General features: G+C 44.9%; 1 protein-coding gene across 1 annotated transcript in view, besides 4 other annotated features; it reads right to left on the reverse strand.

Annotated features, from left to right (window-relative positions):
• The window catches only part of USP34 (ubiquitin specific peptidase 34), a 283,625-nt gene that overhangs the window by 234,853 nt on the left and 36,253 nt on the right, over positions 1-12,519 (reverse strand). The gene's annotated exons all lie outside the window — the stretch shown is intronic.
• Positions 2,857-3,534: an enhancer, noted in NCBI's record as "H3K27ac-H3K4me1 hESC enhancer chr2:61652307-61652984 (GRCh37/hg19 assembly coordinates)". NCBI's record gives its function as "activates a minimal SCP1, AML or CMV promoter by ChIP-STARR-seq in naive H9 embryonic stem cells {active_cell/tissue: H9 hESC(naive)}" and the evidence as "EXISTENCE:reporter gene assay evidence [ECO:0000049][PMID:30033119]".
• Positions 3,535-4,212: an enhancer, noted in NCBI's record as "H3K27ac-H3K4me1 hESC enhancer chr2:61652985-61653662 (GRCh37/hg19 assembly coordinates)". NCBI's record gives its function as "activates a minimal SCP1, AML or CMV promoter by ChIP-STARR-seq in naive H9 embryonic stem cells {active_cell/tissue: H9 hESC(naive)}" and the evidence as "EXISTENCE:reporter gene assay evidence [ECO:0000049][PMID:30033119]".
• Positions 4,213-4,890: an enhancer, noted in NCBI's record as "H3K4me1 hESC enhancer chr2:61653663-61654340 (GRCh37/hg19 assembly coordinates)". NCBI's record gives its function as "activates a minimal SCP1, AML or CMV promoter by ChIP-STARR-seq in primed H9 embryonic stem cells {active_cell/tissue: H9 hESC(primed)}" and the evidence as "EXISTENCE:reporter gene assay evidence [ECO:0000049][PMID:30033119]".
• Positions 7,725-7,919: a silencer, noted in NCBI's record as "fragment chr2:61657175-61657369 (GRCh37/hg19 assembly coordinates)". NCBI's record gives its function as "represses an EF-1alpha promoter that drives an FKBP-Casp9 reporter gene in an ReSE screen in K562 erythroleukemia cells {active_cell/tissue: K562}" and the evidence as "EXISTENCE:reporter gene assay evidence [ECO:0000049][PMID:32094911]".

The following is a 12,519-nucleotide window of genomic DNA, read 5'->3' on the forward strand; positions in this document are numbered from 1 at the left end:
CCTACTCTAACAAAAAACACACACGGCACACATTCTGAAAAAAAGTTTGTGTGGCCAGAAAACCATCCTCACCAGAGGCCCGCCTGACAGCCTAGCTGCTAACCAACAAAAACTTTCCAACTCATTCCATCCAACCCAGAACCAGAAAGGCAAGTGAAGGACATTTCATCAGAGTAGAGTTCTCCAAACACACAGCTATCATCATACTCAAAGGTGAAAGCCCAAAAGCTTTTCCTCTAAGATTAGGACCAAGATAAGGTGGTCACTTTCACAATTTCTATTCAACACAGTATTAGAAATTCTAGTCAGAGCAATTCAATGAGGAAGAAAATGGAAAGAAATCAAGTCACTTCTGTCCACAGATAACATGAACCAACAGAAAACCCTAAGGATTACACAAGAAGAACTGTTAGAACTAACAGCCGGTAATCCCAGCACTTTGGAAGGCCAAGGCGGGCAGATCACTTGAGCTTAGGAGGTCAAGACCAGCCTGAGCAGCATAGTGAAACCCCATCTCTACGAAAAATATAAACAATTAGCCAGGCATGGTGGTGCACACCTCTGGTCCCAGCTACTGAGGAGGCTGAGGTGGAAGGATCACTCGAACCTGGAAGGTTAAGGCTGAAGTGAGCCGAAAAAAATCAGTGGCTTCCATTAAACTGCAGTTTGCATTTCAGCATTCCAACCTGGGTAACAGAGTGAGACCCCCTCTCAAAAACAAACAAACAAAAAATAAGTGAATTCAACAAAGTTACAGGATACAAATTCAAAACACAAAAATCAGATATACTTTTGTCTTTTTAAATTTTTGGTTTTTTGAGACAGTCTCACTCTTTTGCCCAGGCTGGAGTGCAGTGGCACAATCTTGGCTCACTGCAACCTCTGCCTCCCAGGTTCAAGCGATTCTCCTGCCTCAGCCTCCTGAGTAGCTGGGATTACAGGTGCCCACCATCACGCCTGGCTAGTTTTTGTATTTTGTAGAGAGGGAGTTTCACCATGATGGCCAGGCTGCTCTCGAACTCCTGATCATAAGTGATATGCCCGCCTCAGCCTCCCAAAGTGCTGGGATTACAGGTCAGATGCATTTCTAATACACTAACAATGAACAATTTAAAAAGGAAATATTAAAAAAAATCCATTTGCATCAGCATCAAAAAGAAAAATGAAACAAGGAGGAAAAGACTTGTTAACAATGAAAACTACAAAATGTTGCTAAAAGGAATTAAAGAAGATGTAAATAAATGGGAAGAAATCCCACATTCACTGGTTGGAAGACATTATATTGTTAAATATCGACACCACCCAAATTGATTTATGAATTAAAAGCAATCACTATCAAAATCCCCAGTGAGGCCCAACAGCTCACACCTCCGATCCTAGTGCTTTGGTAGGTTGAGGCAGGAAGACTGCTTGAGGCCAGGAATTCAAGACCAGCCTGGGCAACACAGCAAGGTACCATCTCTAAAAATATGTATATTTTTAAAAATTAGCCAGGCACGGTGGCACATGCCTATAGTTCTAGCTACTCAGGACACTAAGGATAACGTGGGAGAATGGCTTGAGTCCAGAAGTTCAACGCTATAGTGAGATATGATCATGCCACTGACTCCAGCATGAGTAACAGGGCAAGATCCTGTCTCTTAAAAAACAAACAACAAAATAAATAAAATAAATGTTCACAAGTTATGTGGAACTGGAACCATTGTGTACTCTTGCTGGGAATATAAAATGTTACAGCTGCTGTGGAAAACAGTATGACAGTTCCTTGAAAAATCAGAAACACAATTACCATATGATCCAGCAATCCCACTCGTGAGCATATATACTGAAATGAATTGAAAGCACCATCTCCAAGAGATCTTTGCTCTCTTGGACCTCTACTATACGGTGTATAAATATCCCATTGCTCCTAGGCTACAAACCTGTATGGCATGTAACTGTACTGAATACTCTAGGCAACCATAATACAATGTAAGTATTTGCATATCTAAACATATTTAAGTATAGAAAAGGTACAGTAAAAATTATAACCTTACGACCACTGTCCTACACTAGGTCCATCATTGACCAAAACATCGTTACTCGGTGCATGACTGTACTTGTACAATTCAACTGGTATGAGGTATTTAAAGTAGCCAAATTCACAGAAACAAAGGAGAAGGGTGGTTGCCCAGAAATGCGTTTCAGTTTTGTCACATGAAAAAGTTGTAGAGATTTGTTGCACGAGAATGTTAACATTTCTAACACTACTCAACTATATACATAAAAAATGATCAAGAAAAGAAATGTTTCGCTCATGTCTGTAATCCCAACACTTTGCGAGGCCAAGGCAAGAGGATCACTTGAGCCCAAGAGTTCAACACCAGCCCAGGCAACATGGCGAGACCCCCTCTCTATTTAAGAAAAAAAGACCAACAGTAAATTTTATGTTCTATATTTTTTTTTACCACAATTAAAAATTTTTGCAATTATTTTTTAAAGGAGTTCAGGAAATCCAAACTGTAGTTTAATGGAAGCCACTGAATTTTTTTTGAGAGGGAGTCTCACTCTGTCCGCCAGGGTAGAGTGCAATGGTGCAATATCGGCTCACTGCAACCTCCGCCTCCCAGGTTCAAGTGATTCTCCTGCTGAGTAGCTGGAATTACAGGCATGTACCACCACGCCCGGCTAATTTTTGTATTTTTAGTAGAGACAGGGTTTCACCACGTTGGCCAGGCTGGTCTCAAACTCCTGACCTCATGATCCACCTGCCTTGGCCTCCTGGGATTACAGGTGTGGCCCACTGCGCCCAGCTGCCACTGATTTTTTAGACTGAAAACAGGTGGGAGGCAGAGCAAGCATAGAAGGCTCCACTGATCATGCCCATGCCCCCGCCAACAAGGATACCAAATTAAGATCTACATAGAAAAAACACCTTCATAAAAAACAAAAATCAGGTGAGTACTCATAGTACCTGGTTTTAACTGAAACACCTTCATAAAAAACAAAAATCAGGTGAGTACTCATAGTACCTGGTTTTAACTGCGTATCACTGAAGGGAGAAACAACAGTCCTCAATTAGCAACTACGCACACTTCCTGTTCCCCCAGCCAGCAGCAAAAGGCCTGGTGCCTAGAGCCTCTCGGTGCTGAGGGAGGGACAACACAGCAACTGCAAGCCACTGAACTCAGTGCTGTCCTGTGAGAGCAGAAAAGAAAACCAGATCAAACCCAGGTGACTCCCACCCAGGGAGGGAGCATTTAAACCAGCCCTAAAGCGGAGGGCAACTGCCGATCCCAGGAGTCCCAACTTGAGTTCCCACCAGCCTCACCATGGAGGGCTACAGCACTCCATGTTTCCAAGTAAACTTTTTGGCAGTCTGAGCCGTAAGGACTACAACTCTTAACCGATTCTTAGTAATGAATGAACTGGGCACCAAGACAGTAGAGGTGGTGGGAAGGGGGACAGGAAGCAGGGAATGAGACATACTGAGACACCAGGCGGGGCAGCCAATGGAGTGCTGGCATCACCCCTTCCCCTCGACAGGCTGCACAGCTCAGGGCTCCAAGAAAGATGCCTTCCTTCTGTTTGAGGAGAGAAGGAAGAGTGGGGGGGACTCTCTTGCATCTTGGATACCAGCTCAGCCACAGCAAGACAGGGCACCGCTCAGAGTCATGAGGTCCCCTGTTCAGGGCCCTAACTCCCAGACATTTCTACACACACCCTGGGCCAGAAGACAGGAGCTGACAGCATTCATCACCTAACTGAGGAGCCCTTGGGCCCTGAATAACCAGTAGCGATATCCAAGTACTACATTGAGGGCCTCAGTTGAGCCTCTGAGACTTGCTGGCTTCAGTGAGATTCAGCACATTACCAGCTGTGGTGGCTATGGGGCAAAACTCCTACTTGAGAAAAGCTGAGGGAAAGAGTAAAGAGAACTTTGTCTTACAGCTTAGGTACCAGCACAAACACAGCAGGGTAGAGCACCAGTTGATTCTTGGGTGTCCCTAATTCTAAGACCTGACTCTTAAATGGCATTTCTGGACCTGCCCTGGGCCACAGGGGAGCCCACTGCCCTGAAGGGTGAGTCCCAGGTAACAGAGCGTTCATGACAAGCTGACTTCAGAGACACTGGGCCTTAGAGAAACATCGGTGAGTCTGGCAGTACCCCTTGTGGCCTGGGGGTGGCGGTGGCTACGAGGTGAGGTGGAAATGGGAAAAAGAGTGAGAAGTACCAGTCCTGTGGTTTGAATGCCAGCTCAGCCACAATACAAAAAGTATTGCTCTAGTATCTTAACTCCCAGACAACACTTCTGGACCCACCTGGGGTCTAGAGATCTTGCTGCCCTGAAGGAAGGATGCAGGTCTGGCTGGCTTTGCCAACTGCTGATTGCACAGCACCAGGGCCTTCAGCAAACATGGGAGGTAGCCAGAGTGCAGTTACAGCAGGCCTTGGGTGAGACCCAGCATAGTCCTAATTTCAAGACTGACCCAGCACAGTCATGGTGGCCACAGGGGTGCTTGTGTCACTCACTCCAACCCCAGCTTTAGGTGGCTCAGGACAGCGAGACCGTGTGTTTGGGAGAAAGTAAGGAAAGAGAACAAGAGTCTCCACCTGGTAATCCACAAATTATCCAGATCTTGTCCAAATCCATCAAGGTGGTACCTGTATGAGTCTGCAAGAACCACAGAATTACTGGGCTTGGGGTACCCCTAAAGCAGATACAGCTTAGATCACAATACCCAAGTTTTTTTCTTTTTGACATGGAGTTGCCCAGGCTGGAGTGCAGTGGCACGATCTCGGCTTACTGCAAGCTCTGCCTCCCAGGTTCACACCATTCTCCTGCCTCAGCCTCCCGAGTAGCTGGGACTACAGGTGCCCGCCACCACGCCCGGCTAATTTTTTTGTATTTTTAGTAGAGACAGGGTTTCACCATGTTAGCCAGGATAGTCTCGATCTCCTGACCTCGTGATCCACCCGCCTTGGCCTCCCAAAGTGCTGGGATTACAGGCATGAGCCACCGTGCCCGGCCCCAAGTTCTTTCAAATATCTAGAAAGCCTTCCCAAGAAGGACAGCTTCAAATAAGGCCAGACAGTGAAGACTACAATAAATACCTAACTCTTCAATGCCACTCAAGAACATCTACTAGCATCAACGCCATCCAGGAAAACATGACCTCACCAAATGAACTAAATAAGGCATCAGGGACCAATCCTGGAGAAACAGAGATATGTGACCTTTCAGATAAGGAATTCAAAATAGCCGTGTTGAGGAAACTCAAAGAAATTCAAGATAACACAGAAGGAATACAGAATTCTATCAGATAACTTTAACAAAGATTAAAACATGTAAGAAGACTCCAGCAGAAATTCTGGAGCTGAAAAACGCAATTGGCATACTAAAGAATGTATTAGTCTTTTGCAGCAGAATTGATGGCAGAGAAGTAAGAATTAGTGAGTTCAAACACAGACTATTTGAAAACACCCAAGTCAGGAGAAAAAAGAAAACGGAATTTCTAAAAATGAAGCATGCCTACGGGATCTAGAAAATAGCCTCAAAAGGGCAAATCTAAAGAGTTTTTGGTGGCCAGGCACAGTGGCTCACACCTGTAATCCCAGCACTTTGGATGGCTGAGGGAGGCAGATCACCTGAAGTCAGGAGTTTGAGACCAGCCTGGCCAACATGGTGAAACCCCGTCTCTACTAAAAACACAAAAAAACTAGCCGGGCATGGTGGCGTGTGCCTGTAGTCCCAGCTACTTGGGAGGCTGAGGCAGAAGAATCGCTTGAACCCGGGAGGCAGGGGTTGCAGTGAACCAAGATTGCGCCACTGCCCTCCAGCCTGAGCAACAAGAGCAAAACTCCGTCACAAAAAAAAAAAAAAAACTTCCAAATCTTAAACAAAGGCAAAAATGTTATTTCTGAGTATGAGTTTCTAATGATTCTCAAAAAAAAAAAAAAAAAGTGATCACCTTTGCAAATGTTAAATCAGTCATTGAAAACTGGTTAACAAAGGGAGAAATCAGCCATTCATCCTGACTTTCACGTAGAAATAGCAAATAAAAGTAATGAAACAGGTAATAAAAGCAAGTTTCTCCTGATACAGATAGTCCACCTAATCAAAGAAAAAAGTGACAGGATTAGTTTTGTAGCTGTTAATGTAATAAAAGCCTTAGGCAATGGCTGCTTGCTAACTATGACATTAAGTGGCACTCCAACCAACCCCATGGAAGAACACAACACAACCTATAAAACAGTCTTGCCAAGAAATTTAACCTGAATCTGATCAAGCCTCTAGATCTAGCAATAAAAGTATGGAAATACAAAAGACAAAGCATAATAATTACACAAGGATAAAATCTGCAAAATCCAGATGGGAAATCGTATGCACTAAGCAAGCCACGGAACGAGCAGTTTCTGCAACAAATAAAAAGAAAGAGGGGAACCTAGAAATTACAACAGACTTAGGAAAAAAATTAGCTATGCCGATTCAGAGGTAACTCCTAGGAAGTGAGGTTTGAAAATAAAGAGAGAAAAGAATTATGTATTGAAACAGTAACAATAACCAACAGAGATATCAATGGCTACAAACTACAGGGCAGCCAGAATTCACAGAATTAGTCCACACAGGTAGCCAACAAACAAAACACAAAGAGCAAAACAAAATAATAACTTTACTCACACTAGAAACAAACCAAATTTCCATTAGAGTGGATTGAGTTTAAAAATAAAAAAAATAAAATAAATAAAAAGGATGCGCTTTGGGAAGAAAAGGAGGGAGGATTGCTTAAGGCTAGGAGTTCTAGACCAGCCTGGGCAACAGTACAAGACACTATCTCTACTAAACAAATTTTAAAATTAGCTAGGTTTGGCCAGGCACAGTGGCTCACGCCTGTAATCCCAGCACTTTGGGAGGCCGAGGCAGGCGGATCACGAGGTCAGGAGATCGAGACCATCCTGGCTAACAAGGTGAAACCCCGTCTCTACTAAAAATACAAAAATTAAGCCAGGCATGGTGGTGGGCACCTGTAGTCCCAGCTACTTGGGAGGCTGAGGCAGGAGAATGGCATGAACCCAGGAGGCAGACCTTGCAGTGAGCCAAGATTGCACCACTGCACTCCAGCCTGGGCAACAGAGCGAGACTCCGTCTCAAAAAATAAAATAAGATAAAATAAAATAAAATTAGCTGGGTGTGGTAGCATGCACCTGTAGTCCTAGCTACCCAGGAGGCTGAGGTGAATGAGTTGCTTAAGCACAGGCAGTCGAGGTTGCAGTGAGCTATAATGGCACCACATGACAGGTAACAGGGCAAGACTACCTCAAAAAAAAAAAGTTATCATATATATGCCAACATACGGAATTCTATTCAGCAATAAAAAGAAACCGACTACTGATGCACCAACAAGCAACATGGATGACTTCTAACCGTATGCTAAGTAAAAAGAATACCAACCAGATGTAAGTAGTACATAAAGTTTATTTCTAGCTGGACACAGTGGCTCCTGCCTATAATCCCAGCACTTTGGGAGGCCGAGGCGGGCAGATCACCTGAGGTCAGGAGTTCGAGACCAGTCTGGCCAACATGGTGACACCCTGTCTCCACTAAAATTTTGTATTTGTAAAAGTACAAAAATTAGGCTGGGCGCGGTGGCTCACGCCTGTAATCCCAGCACTTTGGGAGGCCGAGGCGGGTGGATCACGAGGTCAGGAGATCGAGACCATCCTGGCTAACACGGTGAAACCCCCCGTCTCTACTAAAAATACAAAAAATTAGCCGCGCGTGGTGGTGGGCACCTGTAGTCCCAGCTACTCGAGAGGCTGAGGCAGGAGAATGGCGTGGACCCGAGAGGCGGAACTTTCAGTGAGCCAAGATCGTGCCACTGCACTCCCGCCTGGGCGACAGAGCGAGTCTTCGTCACAAAAAAAAAAAAAAAAGAAAAGAAAAAAAAAATACAAAAATTAGCCAGGCGTGCTGGCACATGCCCATAATCCCAGCTACTCAGTAGGCTGAGGCAGGAGAATCACTTGAACCCAGGAGGCAGAGGTTGCAATGAGCCAGGATCGTGCCATTGCACTCCGGCCTGGGTGGCAGAGCAAGACTGTCTCAAAAAATAATAATAATAAAATACATTTAAAAATAAAGCTTAGGTGACAAAGCACATCAGCAGTTACGACAATGCAGAGTTGGTGGTGGGGCTGATTACAAACAGGAATGAGGAATAACTGGGTGATGGAAATGTTCAATTGTGGTTCTTATATGAGTGTATACATTTGTCAAAATGAATAAACACATACCCTTACAATAGACTAACCTTATTGTATGTAAATTATATAACAATTTAGTTAATTTTTAAAATCAGCAATTCTAATAGGTCTCATGTGAATCTTGATTCAAATTGTGAAGGAAAAGGTAGAATTTTTTAAAACTGAGAATATAAGGGAAATTGAATGCTATTTCGTATTAAGAAATTACTCTTGGGAGACCGAGGCAAGAGATCCCTTGAGGCCAGGAGTTCAAGACCACCCTGGGCAACCCCTTCGCTACAAAAAATAAAATAATTAACTGGGCATGGTAGTGCAAGCCTGTAATCTCAGCTACTTGGGAGGCTGAGAAGAGAGGATCACTTGAGCCTGGGAGTTTGAGGCTCATAGTGAGCTATGATCGTGCGCCCCTGCACTGAAGCCTGGGCAACAAGACCCCTATTCTTTAAAAAAAGAAAAATAGAAAAGAAATGAAACGAAATGAAATGAAACGAAAACTAAAGAAATTTACACAACTAGACACTGGAAAGGTTAGAGAAGAGGAATGTAGGGAGAGATTGGTTAATGAACAGAGAATTATACCTAGCCAGGAGGAATACATTCTAGTGTTTTATAGTACTGCAGGATGACTATTTTTTTGTTTTTGTTGTTCTTTGGAGCTTTATCAGGTTTTTGTTTGTTTAGAGAAGAGATTTAGCTCTGTCACTCAGGCTGGAATGCAGTGGCACAATCACAGCTTACTGCAGCCTGGACCTCCTGGGCTCAAACAATCCACTTGCCTCAGCCTCCCAAGTAGCTGAGACTACAGGTGCATTTCACCACACTCAACTAATTATTAATTAAACTTTTTGTAGAGATGGAGTCTTGCTGTGTTGCCCACACTGGTCACTAACTCCTGGCCTCAAGTGATCCTTCTGCCTCAGCCACCCAAAGCACTGGGATTACAGACATGAGTCACTGATCCTGGCTTTAGGATTACTATAGTTAATAATCTGACATTTTAGCTAGCAGAGGCTGGCCGGGCGTGGTGGCTCACACCTGTAATCCCAGCACTCTGGGAGGCCAAGTGGGTGGAATACCTGAGGTTAGGAGTTCGAGACCAGCCTGGCCAATCTGGTGAAACCCCATCTCTACTAAAATTCAAAAACTTAGCCGGGCATGGTGTTAGGCGCCTGTAATCCCAGCTACTTGAGACCCGCGGCAGGAGAATCACTTGAACCCGGGAGGCGGAGGTTGCAGTGAGCTGAAATCGCACCACTGCATTCCAGCCTGGGCAACAAGAGCAAGACTCCATCTCAAAAAAATAAATAAATAAAAGATAAATAAATAGCAGAGAGGATTTTGAATGTTCCCAACACAAAGAATGATAAATGCTTGAGATAACAATAATTACCCCAATTTGATCATTACACATCATATAAAGGTATTGAAATAGCATGCTGTACCCTATAAATATGTATAAGAATTACGTATGAATTTAAAATAACAAAAAACAGACCATGGCCAGGGGTAGCAGCTCACGCCTGTAATCACAGCACTTTGGGAGGCCAAGGCAAGATTTGCTTGGGCCCAGGTGTTTGAGACCAGCCTGGGCAACTTAGACAGAACCCACCGTTTTTCAATTAAAAAAAAAAAATGGAATGTAGTGACATTTTCCTGTAATCCTAGCACTTTGAGTGGCCAAGGTGGGCAGATGGCTTGAATTCAGGCGTTCAAGACCAGCCTGGATAACATGGCAAAACCCCATCTCTACAAAAAAAAGACAAAAATTAGCTGGGCATAATATCCCGTACCTACAGTCTTAGCTACTCAGGAAGCTGAGGTGGGCAGACAGCTTGAGCCCCAGGAGGTCAAGGCTGCAGTGAACCAGGAGCATGCCACTGCACTCCAGCCTGGGTGACAGAGTGAGACCCTGTCTCATAAATACGTAAACAAACAAAGCTGGACACAGTGGTGTGTGTCTCTAGTTCCAACTATTCAGGAGGCTGAGGTGAGAGGACTGTTTGAGCTCAAGAGTTCTAGGCCAGCCTGGGCAACACAGCAAGACCCCATCTTTAAAATTTTTAAATGCTAAATGGTTATTTTAATATATTTAAATATATACAGATAATATATAACACCTGGATTTACTTCAAGCTAATCCAGTGGGTGGGAGAGAGACAATGGATAAGGTAAGGTGAAAAAAAAAACTACCCATGAGTTGGTAAATGTTGACTGGGTGATGGGTACATAAGTGTTCACTGCCCATAAACTTTCCCATTTCTGCACATGACTCTAGATATCTAAAACTTTCTACAATGACCAGAGAACCAAAAACCAAGACCACATACCACATAGCCAGAAACAAGGGTGAAAATAAGAGAACAATAAAACAGAAGATTAAGATATTAGTTACAATAGGTAATACATTCAAGATATTAGATAAGCTGAAGAATTCCAGCAAAGTTATGAAGAATATTAAAAAAAGAATCAGGGAGACTGACTAAAGACACCTAGCATTCATCCTACACACAAGAAAGGACAAAGGTTAACAAATAAACAGCTAAGATCTGACAGGTGTGTCAGAGAGACCATCTGAGTGCAGTTGGGGAATGGAGACACACCTGTTGGTGACAAAGTCCAGGAAGGCAGTATGGAAGCATCCAGCCTCTGCAGCCCCATCTCCCCTCACCCAGATGGGATTTGCCTGCAGTCAGCAGGGACTTCCTGATGCAGGGAAAAAGTAAGCAGAAGATCCCTCACCAGCACTCCCATTACCACCACAAACACCTACACTCCTTACAAGTGGCGAATCGGCCAGGTGCGGTGGCTCATGCCTGTAATCCCAGCACTTTGAGGAGCTGAGGCAGGCGGATCACTTGAGGTCATGAGTTCAAGACCACCCTGGCCAAGAAGGTGAAACCCCATCTCTACTAAAAATATAAAAATTAGCCGGGCGTGGTGGTGGGTGCCTGTAATCCCAACTACTGAGGAGGCTGAGGCAGGAGAATCACTTGAACCCAGGAGGCAGAGGTTGCAGTGAACCAAGATCGTGCCACTGCACTCCAGCCTGGGCAACAGAGTAAGACTCCATCTCAAAAACTATAAATAAAATAAAAAGGAGAATCCCACAGTCCTTGCAAGCCCTGAGCCCAATTTAGACAACTGCTGGAAATCCATACAGCTGCACTGCCCAAATTAGGAGCACAAGGAATGTGCTCCCCAACCCCCACCTACCCCCAGTGAAACAAGCTGTGGCAGTGCAACACCATCTTGAAACCAGAGCCACCTCTGGAGTGCACCCTCTGGGGGCCAGTAGCCACTGCACCTCTGCAGCACTTCAGCTCCATCTTCATTACACCAAGGCCACACAGGTGAATGAATGCCACAACTATAGCTGCAACTTTGGTCCCGCACAGCAGGGAAAACCAACTCCCACAACCAGACCACACTTCAAGCCAAAGGAACAGTCTGACAGTCCCATCCAGGACAAACCTGCCCATAAGCCAACCAAGCCACTATAAGCTCTCTCCAAAGTAGTGGAGGCCCGCAAGCCAAAGAGCATGTGATACACCCCAAGGTTAGTGAAGCAGCCATGCACCCTTACTCAGTGCCTAAGAAAAAGGCTCCTAGCACCTCTGCCCCATGTAGACATGCTTCTGGCCTCCCGAACAGCCCTGCGCCCCCAATAAGGGCCTCAGAAACATTACCACAGGTCGTCCCTGATGGGCATCCCCCCAGGCCAGCCAGGCAGCCAAGAGCCCACATCCCAGTCCTAAGAAACAGCCCAATGGGCAACACCTGACAGACACATCTAGGCTGGCTGAGCAGTTGTGCACCTGTGTCCTAGACCTGAGAAACCATGGGCCACTCCTGCCAGGCACAACACCAAGCCAATTGAGCAACCACATGCCTGTGCTCCTGGCCAGAGTAACAGTCCTGTGGCTTCAACCCCAGCAAGCCAGACCCCAAGTTGGCCAACTCACCATATGCATACATGTGTCCCTGACTTGAGAAACAGCCCAATGAGCCAACCCCCCTGGCAAAGCTGCACCACACACTTCCTCATCCTAGGCTGCTGAGAAACTCTCAAATGTCACTAGTACAGATTACAGATGAAGAAACTACATTACTGTGTCCACACAGAACCAAGGCCAACACACTCCACTGATCTAAGATCCACTTATATAAATTAAGTCTTTCCCTATAAAATTTACTCCATAAAATTGAAAGGGGGGGGGTTCCAACAATGTGTAGAAACAATGTAGAGAAATCAACAGAGAAAAAAGAAACATGAC

Source organism: Homo sapiens, chromosome 2, assembly GCF_000001405.40.
Source record: "Homo sapiens chromosome 2, GRCh38.p14 Primary Assembly".
Classification (NCBI taxonomy): Eukaryota; Metazoa; Chordata; class Mammalia; order Primates; family Hominidae; genus Homo; species Homo sapiens.